At 36.6% G+C, this 19815-nt stretch overlaps 1 long non-coding RNA gene across 1 annotated transcript; it reads right to left on the bottom strand.

Annotated features, from left to right (window-relative positions):
- Window positions 1–10198: 10198 nt before the first annotated feature.
- On the bottom strand, window positions 10199–18583 carry LOC105369452 (uncharacterized). The gene is made up of 3 exons (XR_947941.2): window positions 18242–18583; window positions 13020–13161; window positions 10199–10722 (listed from the first exon to the last, which is right to left on the bottom strand). It is a non-coding gene; the product is annotated as an uncharacterized LOC105369452 (long non-coding RNA).
- Between the last annotated feature and the right edge of the window lie 1232 nt (window positions 18584–19815).

The following is a 19815-nucleotide window of genomic DNA, read 5'->3' as shown; positions in this document are numbered from 1 at the left end:
TATTTAAATACAGTGAATAAATGACTGGTAGAATGGTAGAAAAGTGTCATGGTTGAATACGGATGCTATAGTTAGGATTTATATCCTTGTTTTGACAACCACTTTATCTGTAGCCTAAAGCATTTCTAAGCTTTTCTTATGAGAAAAGGGAGAATAATAATAATACGTATCTTGTAGCATTGCTGTAAAAATAAACAGTGTTTTAAAAAATAAAATAATTCATACAATGTGCTTAGCATTCACTAATCAGCATCAGATAATTATTAATAATATTAGTAGTGGTACATTATAATAATACCCATAAGCGTCTCAATTTTGTGGATTTTTCTGCAGCAAATTTTTTGCTCCAGATTTGCTTTCTTTTACTAATTTAGAGTTCATTTCTCTGTGTCACCATTTGTACATGATTCAGTTTTGTAATCTAATAAATACCATTCTAATAAAAATATTAGTAAGATATAAAAGATACAATATAAAATTTTCAGGTAATCAATTTAAAATCAAAACAGATATTACTTGGTTATCTGCATCTCTTCCCATTACCATGGATACTTGGAAGTATCTATGTATTCATTAATAAGTGTCTTAGTTTGTTTACTGTTGCTATAACAGAATACCTGAGACTGAGTAGTTTATAAAGAACAGAGGCTCATTTGGCTCACAATTTTGGGGGCTGGAAAGTTCAAGATTGGGCCTGTGCATCTGCTGAGGGCCTCAGGCTGCTTCAACTCACAACAGAAAGTAAAAAGGCAGCCTTCATGGGCAAGATACCACACAGGGAGAGAGAAAGCAAGAAAGAGGGAGGGGCCGGGCTCTTTTTAACAACTAACTCTTGTGTTAACTAACAGTGAGCACACTCACTTTGAAGAGAGGTCAATAATCTATTCCTGAAGGATACCACCTCATGATTCAAACACCTCCTACCAGCCCCCACATCCCAACATTGCAACATTGGGGATCAAATTTCAACATAAGTTTTGGAAGGGACAAACATCCAACTCCAGCAGTGAGACTTAACGTATTCTGTGCCTCAAATATATTTGAGTAAGCACAAACAACATTTTATTGTGAAAAAAGCCTATAGTAGGCTTTTTTTATAACATTAGTATTATTAAATATATATGAAATAAATGCATAGTCCAAGGTTACCAAGCATATACATTGACTAGATGATCTAGGAGCCCAAAGTATTGACTCTCAGAAAGACCACAACAATCTTTCTTTCCTTGCCCTCTTGTAATTTGTCTATCTCAAGCCTTCACTAATTAAAAAGTGAATTATTTCATTAAAAATATCAGATACCATGCCTAAATTATATTTACAAAGATAAAACTATGAATTTAAAGCCTGAAATGATTTAATATGTAGTAACAGCATATATAGATATATATGCTGTGACCATATATATTAAATTATATTACATTAATTAATGTATTTATTCATTGCCATCTAAACTCAAACTCATACGAATTCACAAAAAGGGAAACCTTGTTTACTCATTTAGCATCATTACAGATTTTGGCTTTGTTGTGAGACCTTATCATATCATGAGCCATAAATACATTTAGAATGCTGTCCCAAAGTTTAATTTTAAATCTGTTTCCTGGAATAGGTGGAGCAATACGGCAGAATAGAAGGCATCACCAATCATCACCCCCCTACAACAACAACTACAATTTAAGAATTATCTACACAAAAAAAAGCACGTTAAAAAAAAATTAGATGAGCACTCATAATACTTAGTTTTAACTTCCTATCATTGAAAGAGACACTGAAGGGGTTTTAAAACACATCCATTAATTGCTGATACCACCCCTCTCTCATCCCTCAGCAGCAGCAGCAGCCTAATGTGGAGAGTGTTTCTGTGCCACGGGGAGAGGGAGAGCCAGCAATTGTGAGTCACTGAACTCAGTGCTGCCCTCGTTATAGCAGAAAGCAAAATGAGATCAAACTGATTCCTGCCCATGGAGGGAGCATTTAAACCAGCCCTAGGCATAGGGGGATTGCCAATCATAAGGGGTTGAAATGTGAGTTCCTGCCAACCTTGCCACTGTGAGCTAAAGTACCCTGGGGCCCCAAATAAACTTGAAAGGCAGTCTAGGCCATAAGAACTGCAGCTCTTTGGCAAGTCTTAGGGCTGAACTAGGCCCAGAGACAGTAGACTGGGAGGGCATGTGACCTACTGAGACACCAGCCAGGATGGCAAAGGGAAGACTGGCATCACCACTCCACTAACACCAGGCTGCACAGCTCACAGCTCCAAAAGATACCTCTTTCTTCTGCTTGAGGAGAGGAGATGGAAGAGTGAGGAGGACTTTGTCTTGCATCTTGGATACCAGCACAGCCAAAGCAGTATAAGGCACCAGTCAGAGTCATGAGACCCCCTTTCCACCCTGCTAGTTCCTGAACATTTCTAGACACTCCCTGGGCCATAAAGAAATTAGCTGCCTTGAAGGGAAGGAACCAGTCCTGGCAGGATTTATTGCCTGCAAACTGAAGAGTCCTTGGGGCCTAAATGGCAAGCAGCAATACCCAGGTACTATGTTGAGGGTCTTGAGTGAGACTCTAACTTGCTGGCTTCAGGCGAGACTCAGCACATTATCAGCTGTGGTCAGCTGTGGTGCCTATTGGGCAAGACTCCTTCTGCTTGAGAAAAGTGGAGGGACAAGTAGAGGGGATTTTGTATTATGCCTTAGGTACCAGCTCAGCCACAGGGGTGTGGAGAACAAAGTGGGCTTTTGGGGCACTTGATTCTGTGCTTGGCTCTTGGATGTCATTTCTGAACCTGCTCCGGGCCAGAGGGGAGACCATTTCCCTGAAGGGTGAGTCCCAAACCAGGAAGTATTCACCACAAACTGAGTGAGGAACCCTTAGCCTTAAGGGAACATCAGCAGTAGCCTGCAGTGCTTCCTGTAGGCCTGAGGTGGCAGTGGTCACGGGGTGAGGATCCTCTGACTAGGAGGAGGGAGGAGTGGGAAGGGGTGTGTCTTGTGGTTTGAATGCCATCTCAGCCACAGTACAATAGAAAACCAGGTAGACTTCTAAGGTTTTTCACTCTACTCCCTGGCTCCTAGATGGTACCTCTAGACCTGAGTGTGGCCTGGAGAAACTCCCTGCTCAGAAGGAAAGGACGTAGGTCTGGTTGGCTTTGCACCTGCTGATTGTAGAGCCTAAGGGCTTTAAGTGAACATGAGTAGTAGACAAAGAGTGGTTACAGCAGGCTTTGGGAAAGACCCAGCAGTGTGTTAACTTCAGATCTGACCCAGCGCAGTCCTAGGGTTGGTGGCCACAGGGGTGCTGGTGTTATACCACTCCAAGCTCCAGGTCCTCTCAAAAGCAAATAATGCTTAGATCACAATTCCGAAATCTTTTCAAATATCTGGAAAGCCTTCCCAAGAAGGATGAGTACAAACAGTCCAGACTGCAGAGACTACAATAAATGCCTAGCACTTCAGTGCCTAGACACAGACAAACATCTGCAATTATGAAGATGATCCACAAAAACATGACCTCACCAAATGAACAAAATAAGGTACCAGGTACCAGAGATATGGCACCTTTTAGACAGAGAAATCAAAATAGCTGTTTTTAGGAAACTCAAAGAAATTCAGGAGAACATAGCAAAGGAATTCAGAATCCTATCAGTTAAATTAAATAAAAATTTAAAGTAATTTTAGAAAAATCAATACCAAATTTTGAAGTTGAAAACTGCAGCTGGCATACTAAAGAATGCATGAGAATCCTCTAATAGCAGAATTGATCAAGCACAAGAAAAAATTAGTGAGCTTGACAGGCTATTTGAAAATAGCCTGTTAGAGGAGACAAAAGAAAAAAGAATAAAAACAATGAAGCATGCCTACAAGATCCAGGAAAAAAAAAGCCTCAAACGGGAAAATAAGAGATATTGGCCTCAAGGAGAAGACTGAGAAAGGGATAGGAGTAGTAAGTTTATTCAAAGGGATAATAACAGAGAACTTCCCAAACATAGAGAAAGATATGCATATTCAAGTACAGGAAGGTTATAGAACACCAAGCAGATTTAACCTAAAGAAGACTACCTTAAGGCATTTAATAATCAAACTTCCAATGGTCAAAGATATAAAAAAAGTTTCATAAAAGCAGTAAGAGACAAGAAATAAATAACATAAAATGGAGCTTCATTACTTCTGGCAGCAAACTTTTCAGGAAATTGTACAGGCTAGGAGAGAATAACATGACATATTTAATGTGCTGAAGGAAAAAAAACCTTTACCCTAGAATAGTGTATGTAGTAAAATTATTCTTCGAACATGAAAAAGAATTAAAGTTTCCCAGATGAAAGCCGATTCCATCAACACCAGACCTGTCCTTCAAAAAATGCTAAAGAGAGTACTTCAGTCAGAAAGAAAAAGATGTTAATGAGCAGTAAGAAATCATTAGAAGGTACAAGACTCACTGGTATTAGTAAGTACACAGGAAAACACAGAATATTATAACACTGTAACAGTGATGTGTTAACTATACTTATTGTAAGTAGAAAGGATAAATGATCCAATCAAAAATAATAATTACAACATATTTTCTAGACATATTATAATAAGATATAAATAGTAAAAACAGAGTTAAAAAGTGGGTGAATGAATTTAAGGTATAAAGTCTTCATTAGTTTTCTTCTTGGTCATTTGTTGGTTTATGCAAACAGTGTCATTAGGTTATAAGAAAGTATTTGCAAGCCTCATGGTAACTTCTCACCAAGAAACATACAATAGAAACACAAAAAAATAAAAACCGAGAAACTAAATAATTTCAACAGAGAAACTCACCTTCACTAAAGGAAGACAGGAAGGAAAGAAAGAAGGAAGAGAAGAACACAAAACAACCAGAAAACAAATAACAAAATGGCAGGAGTAAGCCCTTACTTACCAGTAATAACACTGAATGTCAATGGAATAAACTTTCCAACTGAAAGTGATAGAGTGGCTGAATAAATTAAAACAAAACAAAACAAAACAAGACCCATTCATCTGTTGCCTACAAGAAACACACTTCACCTATAAAGACACACATAGACTGAAAATATAGGATGGAAAAAGATATTCCATGCCAATGAAAACCAAAAAAGAGCAGGAGTAGTTATATTTATATCAGACAAAATAATTTTTAAAACAAAAACTGTAAAAAGACAAAGAGGCTGGCATGGTGGCTCAAGCCTGTAATCCCAACACTTTGGGAGGCTGAGGCAGGCAGATCATGAGTCAGGAGTTTGAGACCAGCCTGACCAACATGGTGAAACCCCATCTCTACAAAAAGTACAAAAATTAGCCAGGTATGGTGGCGGGCACCTGTAATCCCAGCTACTCAGGAGGCTGAGGCAGGAGAATCACTTGAACCTGGGAGATGGAGGTTGCAGTGAACCGAGATCACGCCATTGTACTCCAGCCTGGGTGACAGAGCAAGACTCCATCTCAAAAAAAAAAAAAAAAAAAGAGACAAAGGATATTATTATATAATAATAAAGGGGTAAATTCAGCAAGAGAAAATTAGAATTATAAAGATATATGCCCCAAACACTGAAGCACCCAAATATATAAAGCAAATATTATTTTAAAGAGTGAGCTTGACTCCAATACAATAATAGTTGGAGATTTCAACACCCTACTTTCAGCATTAGACAGATATTCCAGACAGAAAATCAACAAAGGAATATCTGATTTAATCTGCACTATGGATCAAATAAATCTTATAGATATTTACAGAACATTTCATCCAATAGCTGCAGAATACACATTCTTTTCCTCAGCACATGGATCATGCTCTAGGATATATACCATATGTTAGGCCACAACACAAGTCTTAAATAATTTTAAAAAATTGAAATAATATCAATTATATTCTCTGACCACAATGGAATAGAACTAGAACTAGATAACAAGAGAAATTTTGGAGACTACACAAATACATGAAAATTAAACAATATGCCCCTGAATGAACAGTGTGTGAATGAAGAAATTAAGAAGAAATTTCTTGAAACAAATGATATTGAAAGCAACATACTAAAACCTATGGTACACAGCAAAAGCAATACTAAGAGGGATGTTTATAGCTATAAGCAGTTATAAGTACCTACATCAGAAAAGAAGAAAATTTCAATAAACAACCCAACAATGAATCTTAAAAATTTGAAAGAGCAAACCAAACCGAAAATTAGTAGAAGAAAAGAAATAATAAATATCAGAGCAGATAAAAATGAAATTGAAATGAGGAAAACAAAACAAAAGATCATTGAAACAAAAAGCTGGCTTTTTGAAAAGTGAAACAAAATTGACAAACCTTTAGCCAGACAGTTATCAGAAAAAAGAGGGAAAATCCAAATAAATACAGAGATGAAAAAGGAGACATTACACCTGATAGCACAGTAAACCAAAGGATCATTAGTGGCTACTATGAGCAACTATATGTTAATAAATTAGAAAATTTAGGAGAAATGGACAAATTCATACAACCTACCAAGATTAAACCACAAAAAAATCCAAAACCTGAAGAGACCAATAACAAGTGATGAGATCAAAGCCTTAATAAAAAGTCTCAAAGTAAAGAAAAGCCTAGGACCTGATGGCTTCACAGCTCAATTCTACCAAACATTTAAAGAAGAACTAAATGTTTGGTTTAGTTCTTCCTACTCAATCCTGCCATTCTGAAACTATTCTGAAAAATAGAGGAAGAAGGAATATTTCCATACTCATTCTATGAGGCCAGTTTTACCCTGTCACCAAAACCAGAGAAAGACACCTTAAAAAAAGAAAACTATAGGCTAATATCTCTGATGAACATAGATGCAAAAGTCCTCAACAAAATACTTATAAATCAAATACAACAATACATTAAAAAGATCATTCATTATGACCAAGTGAGATTTATCCCAGGAATGTTAGCATGGTGCAAAATATGCCAATTAATCAATGTGACCCATCATATCAACAGAATGAAGGATAAAAATCATATGATCATTTAAATTGATGCTGAGAAACCATTTGATAAAATTCAACATCGCTTCTTGATAAAAGCCCTGAAAACTGGGGGTAGAAGGAACATATTTCAAAATAATGAAAGCCATATATAACAGACCCACAGCCAGTATCATACTGAATGAGGAAAACGTGAATGCCTTTCCTCTAAGATCTGGAACATGACAGGGATGCCTGCTTTCACCACTGTTATACAACGTAGTACTGGAAGTCTTAGCTAGAGCAATTAGACAGGAGAAATTAAGAACAAAAAGTTAAAAAGCAGGGGAATAAATTTAAGGCATAGTCTTTGTTAGTTTCCTTGTTACTTGTTTGTTTATGCAAACAATGTTGTTGTTCTCAGCATAAAATAATAGGTTATAAGACATATATTGTTATCACCTGTTAAAACTGGAAATAAAAAAGTAAAATTATCATTTTTGTTCCAGATTGTATGATCTTATATTTGGAAAAACCTAGAGACTCCATCAAAAAACTATTAGAACTGATAAACCAATTGAGTATATTTTGCAGGGTACAAAATATATATAGAAAAAAATAGGAGCATTTATATACCAATAGTGAAAAATCTAAAAAGAAATTTAAGTGTAATTCCATTTATAATAGCCACAAATGAATTAAATATCTATGGAAAAAATATTCCATGTTCATGGGTTGGAAAAATCAATATTGCTAAATGTCTATACTATGCAAAGCAATCTACAGATTCAATGCAATCCCTATGTAAAAACCAATGACATTTTTCACATAAATAGAAAAAACCCTAAAATTTATATGGAATCACAAAAGACCAACAATAGCCAAAGCTGTCCCAAGCAAAAAGAATAAATCTGGAGGAATCACTTTACCTGACTTCAGATTATACTACAGAGCTATAATAAACAAAACAGCAAGGTAGTGGCATAAAAACAGACACACAGATCAATAGAATAGAATAGAGAACCCCAAAACAAGTCCACACACCTGTGATGAACTCAGTTTCAACAAAGGTGCCAAGAAAAGACACTGGGGAAGACATTCTCTTCAATAAATGGTGCTAGGAAAACTGTATATCCATGTACAGAAGAATTAAACTAGACCCCTATATCTCACCAGATATAAAATTCAAATTAGAATGGATTAAAGACATTAATCTAAGACATCAAACTATGAAACTACTACAAGAAGACATTGGAAACATTTTCCAGGACATTGGTCTGGGCAAAAATTTCTTGAGTAACACCGCACAAGTACAGGCAACCAAAACAATAATGGAGAAATGGGATCTCATCAAGTTAACAAGCTTCTGCACAGCAAAATATACCATCGACAAAGTGAAGAGAGAACCCATTGAATGGGAGAAAATATTTGCAAACTACCCATCAGACAAGAGATTAATAACCAGAATGTGTAAGGAACTCAAAGAACTCTACAGGAAAAGAAGGGTCATAACCCAGTCAAAAAAAGAGCAAAAAATCTGAATACGCATTTCTCAAAATAAGACATAAAATGGCAAACAGGCATATGAAAAGGTGCGCAACATCACTGATCATCAGAGAAATGCAAATCAAAACTACTGGGAGATATCATCTTACGCCAGTTAAAATGGCTTTTATCCAAATGACAGGCAATAACAAATGCTGGCAAGGATGTGAAGAAAAGGAAACCTCATATATTTTGTTGGGAATGTGAATTAGTACAACCACTATGGAAAATAGTTTGGAGGTTTCTCAAAAAACTAAAAATAGAGCTTCCATATGATCCAGCAATCTCACTGCTGGGTATATACTCAAAAGAAATGAAATCAGTATATTTAAGATATCTGCACTGCCATGTTTTTTGCAGTTCTGCTCACAATAGCCAAGATTTGGAAGCAACCGAAGTGTCCATCAACAGCTGAATGGATAAAGAAAATGTGGTACTTGCACAAAATAAAGTGCTTTCCAGCCACTAAATAAATGAGATTCACACTTTTGCAATAGCATGGATGGAACTGGAGGTCATTCATTATGTTAAGTGAAGTAAACCAGGCACAGAAAGAAAAACATTGCATATCATTTATTTGTAGGATCTACAAATCAAAACAATTGAACTCATGGACATAAAGAGTAGAAGGATGGTTAACAAAGGCTGGAAAAGGTAGTGGATGGTGGGTTGAGGGGATGTGGATGGTTAATGGGTACAAAAAATATATAATGTGTAAATAAGGCCTAATATTTGATAGCACAACTGGGTAACTATATTCAATAATAATTTAACTGTACATTTTAAAATAAGTTAAGGAGTGTAATTAAATTATTTGTAACACAAAAGATAAATGCTTGAGAGGATGGATACCCCATTTTTCATGATGTGATTATTATGCATTGCATGCCTAATATAGCCCATAAATATCTATACCTATTATGTACCCACAGAAGTTATAATATCATATACCGAACTAGAAACTAGTTTTCTTGCCTGCCACTCCTTAAAACTAATAAACCTATTATACCTCCATCCCCCACAAAAAATAAATAAATCTGTTTCTTAAATTACTTCTTTTCTGGATTATTTGTGAAATAAAAAGTCACAGGAAACTGAAATCAATGTTGAGGCTATATAAGCAAAATAACTCTTTTCAGTCCTATTTGTCCCCCAAATAAACTCTGTAGAACACTGGAGCTTCAAATTTGCAATGTGATTATTCAGATACCAGCTGTTGACTATGATCTTGTCCAGTGATCATACCAAAGGTGGCCTGATAAAGTAAAATATTATATAATAAATAACTTGTGAATGTTAACATTGCCTTTAAAGTCAAAAGAGATGGTTTCTTGTCCCAGACTCTTTCACTTATTCCTTTATTTATGCATTCAATATTAATATTAATGAGCATTGCACTTTAGATCTTAGCACATGGCTTCTTACTTCAAGGACAAACAAATATTTGTTCGGGACACTGCAACTTATAAAATACAGTACTTAATAATGTGGCTAAATATTATAAGATTTAGTTCCTTTTCCTATAAATAAATTTAATAGAGTGTATTTAAAAGTTAATTTGGTAATTTACACAAGTAATACATGAAAAAAGGTCTTGTGAAACATAAAGTTCCATATACATGAAAAGTGTCATTTTTTCCTAAGATATTATTAGACAGTGACATTTGTATTGATAACCATAAAATACACTCTTAAATAAAATCTCAAATACCAAGAAAGGAAATGCCAAAGAAGCAGTAGAAAACAATTTGGAATAGAATTAATTTTATTCTTCTCGAGTTCTTAAAATTATATCTTCTGCTTCTTATATGCATATATATCTGACATTCTGCTAGGCTTACTGCAATTCCTTTGAAGTCATATTATGTATTCCTTATTTGAAACCTGTATGCTTGTGTTAAGATGAAATGCAGTTGACTTTGAGAGTAATATATATATATATATAAAGAGAATACAGTATACAGTACAGGACACCTTATTGTTAAAGTTATTTTCTCTTCATACAGAAGTCCACTGTAACCTTCACACAAACTCACAAGGTGCAATTACACATTTTCTGATAGACATAGACAAAAGACAGAAATGTCAGTAAGATGGTGCATTTTAAATTCAATGATTCTCTGTTATTTAAGGAAACAGAAGGAACGGTGACATGAACACATGGCTCATTACATAGGAATCTTGGTCTAGCCTGTTACTGATCCACGAACAGATTAAAATCTCTCTTCTGCCTTCAGTTATCTTCAGATCTTCCCTGTAATAATAATAATGAAATTCAAAAGAGCATTGAAAAAAATGTTGTTACAAAATGCATACCGAAGGCAGATGCTAAGGTCTGAATTTATCCCCTCAAAGCTCCAGGTACTGCCAACGTGATGGTATTAAAAGGTGATGCCTTTAAGAGGTGATTAGGCCAGGAGGGATAGGCTCTCACCCATGGGATTAAGGGCCTTGTGAAAGAAGCTTTGGCGAGCATTTGGCTAACTTGCCCTTCCACCTTCTGCCATGTTAGGATGCAGCATGAAGGCTGTCGCTAAACCAGATGCCATCACCTTGATCTTGGACTCCCTAGCCTCCAGAACTCTGAGAAATAAATTTTGGGCTTTTTAAACATTACCCAGATGAGATCGCACCACTCCACTCCAACCTGGGCAACAAGAGCGAAACTCAGTCTCGAAAAAAAAAAAAAAGAAAAAAAATTTTGTCCAGTCTCAAGTATTTTGCAATAGCAGCACAAAATGGACAAAGATGACAACCTATTTTAAATTTTACTAATAAATAATAAAATTATAAAAAAAAACTTGTATTATTGAGAAAAATTTAACTACTGGTATCTACCAAATTTCAACCTAACAAATAATTTGCCTTTTTTTACATTACATTAAAGACCAATTTTTTAAAACAAGCTAAAAGTCATGAACACTAAGGATGAGAATACAAAATTGTTTTGTCATTACAATCAGTTTTTTAATGTTTAGTAAATCATAATAAAATATTCCTGTTAAACCCATACCTTTAACTTTCTTTGCTTTGGTTCAATGTCATTAAATGATATTTGGCTTAAGGAAGTCTTCCTCTACTGTATGCACTCTCTTGAAATCCAAGCACAAAATAGAATTTGAACTGTGGCTACCATGCTTTTTCTGTGTTGAACTTGTGAGACGGCCATTCCCTAACAGTCACCTTGCACTAGCTTTTGTCTCAGAGCACATTCTCATATGACAGAAGAGTTAAGCTTCTTTCTACAAACCATCTGACTGCCTGAATTTCTTAATTAAGCGACTGAGAGCAGACAAAACTTACAATTTTTATTGATCCATAACTGGCATGCCTTTGCTAATGTAACTGAGTAAATTTTTCTTTTTTTTTAGACGGAGTTTCGCTCTTGTTGCCCACTGTGGAGTGCAATGGTGCGATCTCGGCTCACCGCAACCGCCGCCTCCCAGGTTCAAGCAATTCTCCTGCCTCAGCCTCCTGAGTAGCTGGGATAACAGGCATGTGCCACCATGCCCAGCTAATTTTTGTATTATTAGTAGAGATGGGGTTTCACCATGTCGGCCAGGCTGGTCTCAAACTCCTGACCTCGTGATCTGCCCATCTCGGCCTCCCAAAGTGCTGGGATTACAGGCATGAGCCACTGCCCTGGGCCAACTGAATAAATTTTTAATTCATTTTGTGTGTGTGCACGCATATGCATGCTAAAAATTGCCTCCTAAGTTTCCTTGATTGTTTTTTCCACCTGGGAGGAAAATTTCAGTTTTTTAATCCATATATTGAATAACAACGTGATCTTTTTATGGACTGTGGTATATTATAGATAAATAATTATTTAATTATTACAATAAAGCAAATGGCATAGTTGGTCAATTTGGATAATTCAATTTGTGTCCTCTTTTTTTAAAGTGTAAAATGAGTTTGCCCCTTTTACCTCCTCTGTTCCCCCATCTAATTGTCCAGGTGTGTAAAAATTCACAAGATATTCCAGAGCTCTAGGAACGACCTTAATGAACATTTATATTAACGTCTATCTAAAATCTTTCCCTTTTACTGAGATAATAGACATCACATTCCTTGCCCTTCAAATATCTCCACAAATACTGCTGTTGAGTTACCCTGAATCCACTAAGGGTGATGTTTGTGATTAGAGGAAGTTATTTAATATTTCTAAATCGATTAAATATCTGTAAAATTTAGATACTGGTAGTTCACAAGTAATAATTTTTTTGTGAGAATCAAATATATTTTTGGTATTATTATTTATTCCTTCAACCCATATCAAATTTCAGGCAGGGCACCTAATTCATGTTATGCCTGAGTTTCTTTGCCAGGACTTGCAGCACTGTCAAACTGATACCAATGATTATCCGCTTTTAGTGGAGAAAGTGTTTCATATATATGTATGTATATGAGAAGAAGATCTGAACTGTAGGAAACCAACTTTTCTGCCTAGTAGAGAAACTCAGTCCACATAAAGAGAACAAAACAATAAAGCCAATTTGGACAGAAAAGGAGATAGAAAACAGATCTTCCTATTCTATTGGATGTAGGTACCTGCTTTCAATTATTCCTGAAGTTGTGTTGAATAACCATACTTCCTACCGTTGGTTTTCAATCACTCTTTCGATTCTTTCAGCCAATGCAGTTCCTTTTTTCCCCAAACTATTTTGAGTTGGCCGTGTGTCACTTCTGACTACTAGAAGATAATAAAAAAATTTATGTTTGGGAATTGAACACAGGAAACCTGCTCAAATGATAAGCAATGTTAGTTTTGATGTAGTGATCTATACAACAAGAAAAAGTCAAGAGTTTAAATCTAAGATTTCTAGACCTATCAGGAGGGTAATGTGCAGGTTTTAAGTCTTCCTCCAAAGTTAGTTGAAATATCAAATTCCCTTTATGTATTTATCCATAAATCATCAACTGATTTTAATAATTTCTATCCTATTTGATATATTAATGAAGTATGATGACACACAAATCTAAATTTTATTCAGTGCTTTAAGTACAATGAAGGAATACTTGAGGTAAAATTCTATGCTCCCAGAATGACCAGTTGTCTCACTAAGAAGGAATACCCAATACATTTTGAAGACTACTTAAAAAAAAGGATGCTTTCTAGTCACGTATTTTATTTTAGCAGCTTTAATCACTGGCAATTATAGGAATTTTGAAAAATTGTGAAAAATGTGTTGCTGCGTGTGTGTGTGTGTGTGTGTGTGTGTGTGTGTGTGTATGTGTATGACAGTGAAATAGCCATAGGCTCAGTAAATTTGATTAAGGAAAAATAGTTTGAGTGTGTGAGCTCTTGTTGAAGAATTTAGTTAGGTAGCAGCAACTTTATCTCATTAAAATTAATCATTTATTAATCAAATCCTAGAAATATCTTTATAATTTAGATAATAATCTACGGATGTAATCCCTTAGATAAAGGTTACCTTTCAAGGTAGGGTGCTGGGGAAGTACTGGAGGTTGACAGTGGGTGTGGGGTGGAGGCCAGGTAAAACGAAATGGCTTTTTCATAGGAATCTGCCTCACATCAATTTCATTCTTTGAAAGATAGACTAAGCCAATCTAACCATAAAGTTTCAGCCACCTCAACACATGAAGTTTAAACGGAGTGACTATTATTCAAACTGCCCGAGTTCATCTGCCCATGTGTCATGCTGTTGTGTAGTGATTTGGAATTAGACAATTAATGTATTTAATATAGAACTCATAAGAAAGTTACCAAATTGTTTAATTTCTAAGGATTCTAAAATTCTAAAATGACATCATATTTCATATATTACCAAGAAAAATCATATCATTTTGATTATGATTAATTAAATGGCCTATAGAGTCTGTGACAACTGTTATGGAAAAGAGAAATGTAATCCTGTATTTTCAAGCAACATCAGTTCAAAGTTTAAAATAGTTTTACATTAGCAGTAATAATCTATATTTTAGTCTCACATATCTGCTTTTTGAAGAATCTCAACCTCTGAAAAAACTTCATTGTACATAATTTGTATTTGGTGAATTCAAAAGCAGTCCAATGGACCATCTGCCATTTCATTTGAACATTGAACAAAAGAAAAAATTCTTATACTTCCACATAAATACAAAACCTTATGGAACTAATTACATTCCCCTTCTTTTCTTTACCTATACAAAAGCCAATTAGGAATTGTCAGAACATATTGTGTTATTGTGATTCGGTTTTTTTGTTATGTTGTATTGATTTTTTCTTTCTCTTTTTATTTTGTGACTTATTGCTAAATTTTAGCCTTTGTGTTTAGAAGAATATCATTAATTTTTATTTGACTTTCATGGGTAAGTTGAATGACAATGAATTCCTACTTAAATGGAAAATGGAAAAAGTCAACAAACAAAAATCAATCAGAAAAAAATATTGTCTTCCATAAACAGGGCCCTAATTTTATAGGATTCATACTCAGGACTAACCAAGGTGTAGGATGTTAAACTATGTTAAGTTAAATAAGAAGAGATGCGCTTGACAAAGAAACTGTGGAAAATACTCCATTACCGGAAGTATGTTAAAACATGTATAGTGGTTCAGAGAATATGCTCTGGAATCTGCCTTCTAGGATTCTGGCACCATGTATGAGTCAATGACTTTATGAAAGATTTATGGGCTTTACTTTGCCCCTTTGTAAAATTAGTAAATCACTTTCTTATACAATGATTATCAGGATTTTATAAGAAATATTTGTAAGGCACATAGAACACTGCCGGACACATGGTAATTATTATAACATGAATAATTATAAACCGAAAACTTTAAATGACTTATTCTCATGGCTTCCTAATTCTGAGATAGTATTCATAAAGGAATAGTGGGCCGGGCGCGGTGGCTCAAGCCTGTAATTCCAGCACTTTGGGAGGCCAAGACGGGTGGATCACCAGGTCAGCAGATCGAGACCATCCTGGCTAACACGGTGAAACCCCGTCTCTACTAAAAAATACGAAAAACCAGCCGGGCGAGGTGGCGGGCGCCTATAGTCCCAGCTACTTGGGAGGCTGAGGCAGGAGAATGGTGTAAACCCTGGAGGGGGAGCTTGCAGTGAGCCGAGATTGCGCCACTGCACTCCAGCCTGGGAGACAGAGCGAGACTCCGTCTCAAAAAAAAAAAAAAAAAAGAAAAAAAAAGGAATAGTGACCTCCGTTCCAATTAATGTTCTAGGCCATTTTATTTGGACCTATTGACCTTAGCAATATTGGGGTTACAGTGGCCTTTGAGACTTCATACTGTGGGGAAAAAAAACTATATATACATATATATACGTATATATGTGTGTGTATATATATATATATATATATATATATATATATATATATATATAATCTGACAAAATGTTAATAGAAAATCTTCCTGACATGTTTCAGCAAAAAATCATTAGGGCACAACATAAAAAATTGATAGAGTGGACTTGATGAAAATTAAAAACTTACACTCTAAAAACTCTTTTGAAACAATTTAAAAAGTCATTAATTGGGATAAAATATTTGCACGTATGTATGACAAAGTGCCTTTGTGCAGTAGATACAAAAAAACCCTTACACTCCATCTCCATAATAAAAAAAATACTAAGCACTGCACAGTATGTATCATTGTTAGAACCTGCATGCATTTTCATGAGAGTGTACAATGATAAAATCACTTTGGAAAATAGCGTGACTCTTTTTCAAAAAAATCTATACTTTCTGTGTGACTCAGCAATTCCACTCCTAAGTAATATCCAAGAGAAATAAGAAATTTTACACAAATGTTAACAATTCATGCTGAAAGTAACCCAAAAATCTATATATCACAAACGTTTTATCCGTTTGCCCTATATAAAATAATCAATTACTCAGCAATATAAACTACTGATACACTTAAAAGCATAGATGGATCTCAAAAACATGCTGAAGAAGCCAGGAATAAAAGTATGTGTACTGTAGTACTGCAGGACTCCATTTTTATTAACCTCTGTTGACAGAACCTAGATCAGTGATTACCTGGGACTGTGTGTGTGCATGTATGTAGGCATAATTGCAAAAAGGCAAAAGAGCGCTATATGGTGTGATGGAACTATCTACTCCTAGGTAGAGGTAGTAATTACAAGTTGACAATGTTGTATGTAGTTGCCGTCACTCATGAAACTGTAAAGTTAAAATGTGTGCATTTAGTTGTATATAAATACTATCTCAATGAAGTTGAAAAATAAAAATGAAAACAAAAATGAAAAGAAGCCTTTAAAAAGTAACTTGAAATTAAAAATGTTCTAGAATATTGCAATTAAGTTTGAAAAATAAAATTAGTTTTATATAAATTACTATTTTGAAAAGTAACATATATGTGAAATAGCATATAAAACATAAGTAGATGGGGCATGGTGGCTCATGCCTGTAATTCCAGCAGTTTGGGAAGCCAAGGCCAGCAGATCACTTGAGGTCAGGAGTTCCAGACCAATCTGGCCAACATAGTGATACCATGTCTCTACTAAAAATACAAAAATCAGCTGGGTGTGGTGGCACACAACTGTAGTCCCAGCTACTTTGGAAGCTGAGGCAGGAGAATCGCTTGAACCCGGGAGGCAGAGGTTGCGGTGAGCCGAGATTGTGCAATTGCACTCCAGCCTTGGTGACAGAGTGAGACTCCATCTCCAAACAAAACAAAACACCCATAAACATGGTAAAGAACAATTATAATTCTCTGACTTGGAAAAGATTGTGTATACTCCATTTTTTTTTGAGTAAAACAATGTAGTTTGGTTTTATCAGGTTTTGATAATTTACATAAATAAAATTATACTGTATGTTCTCTTTTGTGGCTTCTTGAATAGTATTTAATACTACTAATACATCACAATTTATCCCTTCCACTGCTGATGAATATGTGGGTTGTTTTCATTTTGAGGCTATCCTAAGTGCTGTTCCATGCCTGTTTTACATGGGTATTAGGGCATGAAATTTTGTAAGATAAAACAAACCCCAAGAGTGGAAGAGCTGGGTCATGGGCTATGCCATTATTCATCTTATTCAGACAATGTTAAACAGATGTATATTCGTATGTGTTTGTGTACATTCCAAAAGATATATGAATTCCCTTATTATTTCAGACAATATTGCTATATCCTTAGGATGCACTGAGATGTATTACTCATGCACTCATATTTTTTAGACAATAGCACTTTTTAAGTTTTGTATCATCCCTTTAAATTTATTTTTTAAATTTATTTCTTTTCTTTTCTCCCTTTAATGTATTCTAGTATTAGAAAAATTCTGATGTTTCTGGCCTTTTCAATATTTTCTTTTCACTCAATGATATCCTTTCTGGGCCTTTTAGTTTAACATGTATGGAGTGGGAAGAATGTAAAGCAGCACATCCTCTCCGTCTAAAATGCACCATAGATTTATGCACAAGATACATAGGAGTGGAGAGAATAAGAATGTGTTTTGTTTTATTTGGCTTGAAGAAACTAAACTCTAAAATCTGGTTTAAAATAACGGGATTCAAAACAAAATACTGGATTTAAAATACTGTCAGCTTAAGTCAGTGTTTAGATACAGATTATAATATTTTATAATCTTTATGCATTGTGCTGTTTTAAGAATTAAGGGGGAAAATCATCCTTTCTATGATACAGTCCCAAAACCACAAACAAAACTTCGTTATTTTTCATCTAATATATTTCATAATGTAAAGGGACAGAGAAACTGGGATTTGAACAGGAACCACCACAATAATGTTTTTATTGATGGCTACAGTAAAATAAAGGCAAACTTACCGGAAGCATGTTTACTGTGAAAGACAAAATATCTTAATTTATGAAGGTCATTCTTAGGAGACTTTAGTCATGGTGTTTCACTTAAGGTTACTCCAGAAAATAAAAACCACATCAGGTATTTTAATACATAAGAAACTGTCTTCACATGCATTAAACAGGCAAAACTAGGGCACTGAGGTATCACAGAGGTGGTAATCTTATAAAACAATTGCCATCCCCAGAACTGAGGAAACAAAAAATCTTGGGGCAGAGCTGAGACCCAGTCTCCGAAGAATGGGTCCGCACTGGCTGGACAAATACCTTAGTAGTGTGTCCAGAATTGGTGGGTCCTTGGTCTCCCTGACTTCAAGAATAAAGCCGCGGACCCTTGTGGTGAGTGTCACAATTCTTAAAGATGGTGTGTCTGGAGTTTGTTCCTTCAGATGTTTTAGATGTGTCCAGAGTTTCTTCCTTCTTGTGGGTTCGTGGTCTCTCTGGCTTCAGGAGTGAAGCCGCAGACCTTCACGGTGAGTGTTACAGCTCTTAAAGGCGGCAAGTCTGGAGTTGTTTGTTCTTCCCGGTGGGTTCGTGGTCTCCGGCTTCAGGAGTGAAGCTGCAGACCTTCGTGGTGAGTGTTACAGCTCATAAAGGCGGGGCAGACCCAAACAGTGAGCAGCAGCAAAATTTATTGCAAAGAGCAAAAGAACAAAGCTTCCACAGTGTGGAAGGGGATCTAAATGGGTTGCCGCGGCTGGCTTGGGCAGCCTTCTTTTATTCCCTTATCTGACCTCACCCACATCCTGCTGATTGGTCCATTTTACAAGGAGCTGATTGGCCCATTTTGACAGGGTGCTGATTGGTGTGTTTACAAACCTTGAGCTAGACACAGAGTGCTGATTGGTGCATTTACAATCCTTTAGCTAGACACAAAAGTTCTCCAAGTCCCCACTTGATTGGCTAGACACAGAGCACTGATTGGTGCGTTTACAAACCTTGAGCTAGACACAGGGTGCTGACTGGTGCATTTACAATCCTGTAGTTAGACATAAAAGTTCTCCACGACCCCACCCAACTCAGGATCCCAGCTGGCTTCGCCTCGTGGATCCCACGAGGTTCTGGGCCCCAGGCAGAGCTGCCCACCAGTCCCACGCCATGTGCCTGCACTCCTCAGCCCTTGGGTGGTTGATGGGACCAGGCGCTGTGGAGCAGAGGGCGGTGCCTGTCCGGGAGGCTCCAGCCGCGTGGGAGCCCACGGGGCAGGGGGTGGTTCGGGCATGGTGGGCTGCAGGTCCCGAGCCCTGCCTCGCAGGGAGGTGGCTGAGGCCCAGCAAGAATTCGAGCACAGCACGGGCCGGCCAGCAGTGCTGGGGTACCCGGCCCACCCTTCGCAGCTGCTGACCCGGGTGCTAAGCCCCTCACTGCCCGGGGCTGGTGGCACTGGCTGGGCACTCTGAGTGCAGAGGGCCCACCGTGCCTGCGCCCACCTGGAACTCCCCCTGGCCTGCGAGGCCACACGTGGCCCTGGCTCCCACCCATGCCTCTCCCTCCCCACCTCCCCACAAGCAGAGGGAGCCAGCTCCGGCCTTGGCCAGCCC

This window comes from Homo sapiens, chromosome 11 (assembly GCF_000001405.40).
Source record: "Homo sapiens chromosome 11, GRCh38.p14 Primary Assembly".
NCBI classification, from domain to species: Eukaryota; Metazoa; Chordata; class Mammalia; order Primates; family Hominidae; genus Homo; species Homo sapiens.
This window is presented reverse-complemented; position numbering and strand designations above follow the sequence as displayed.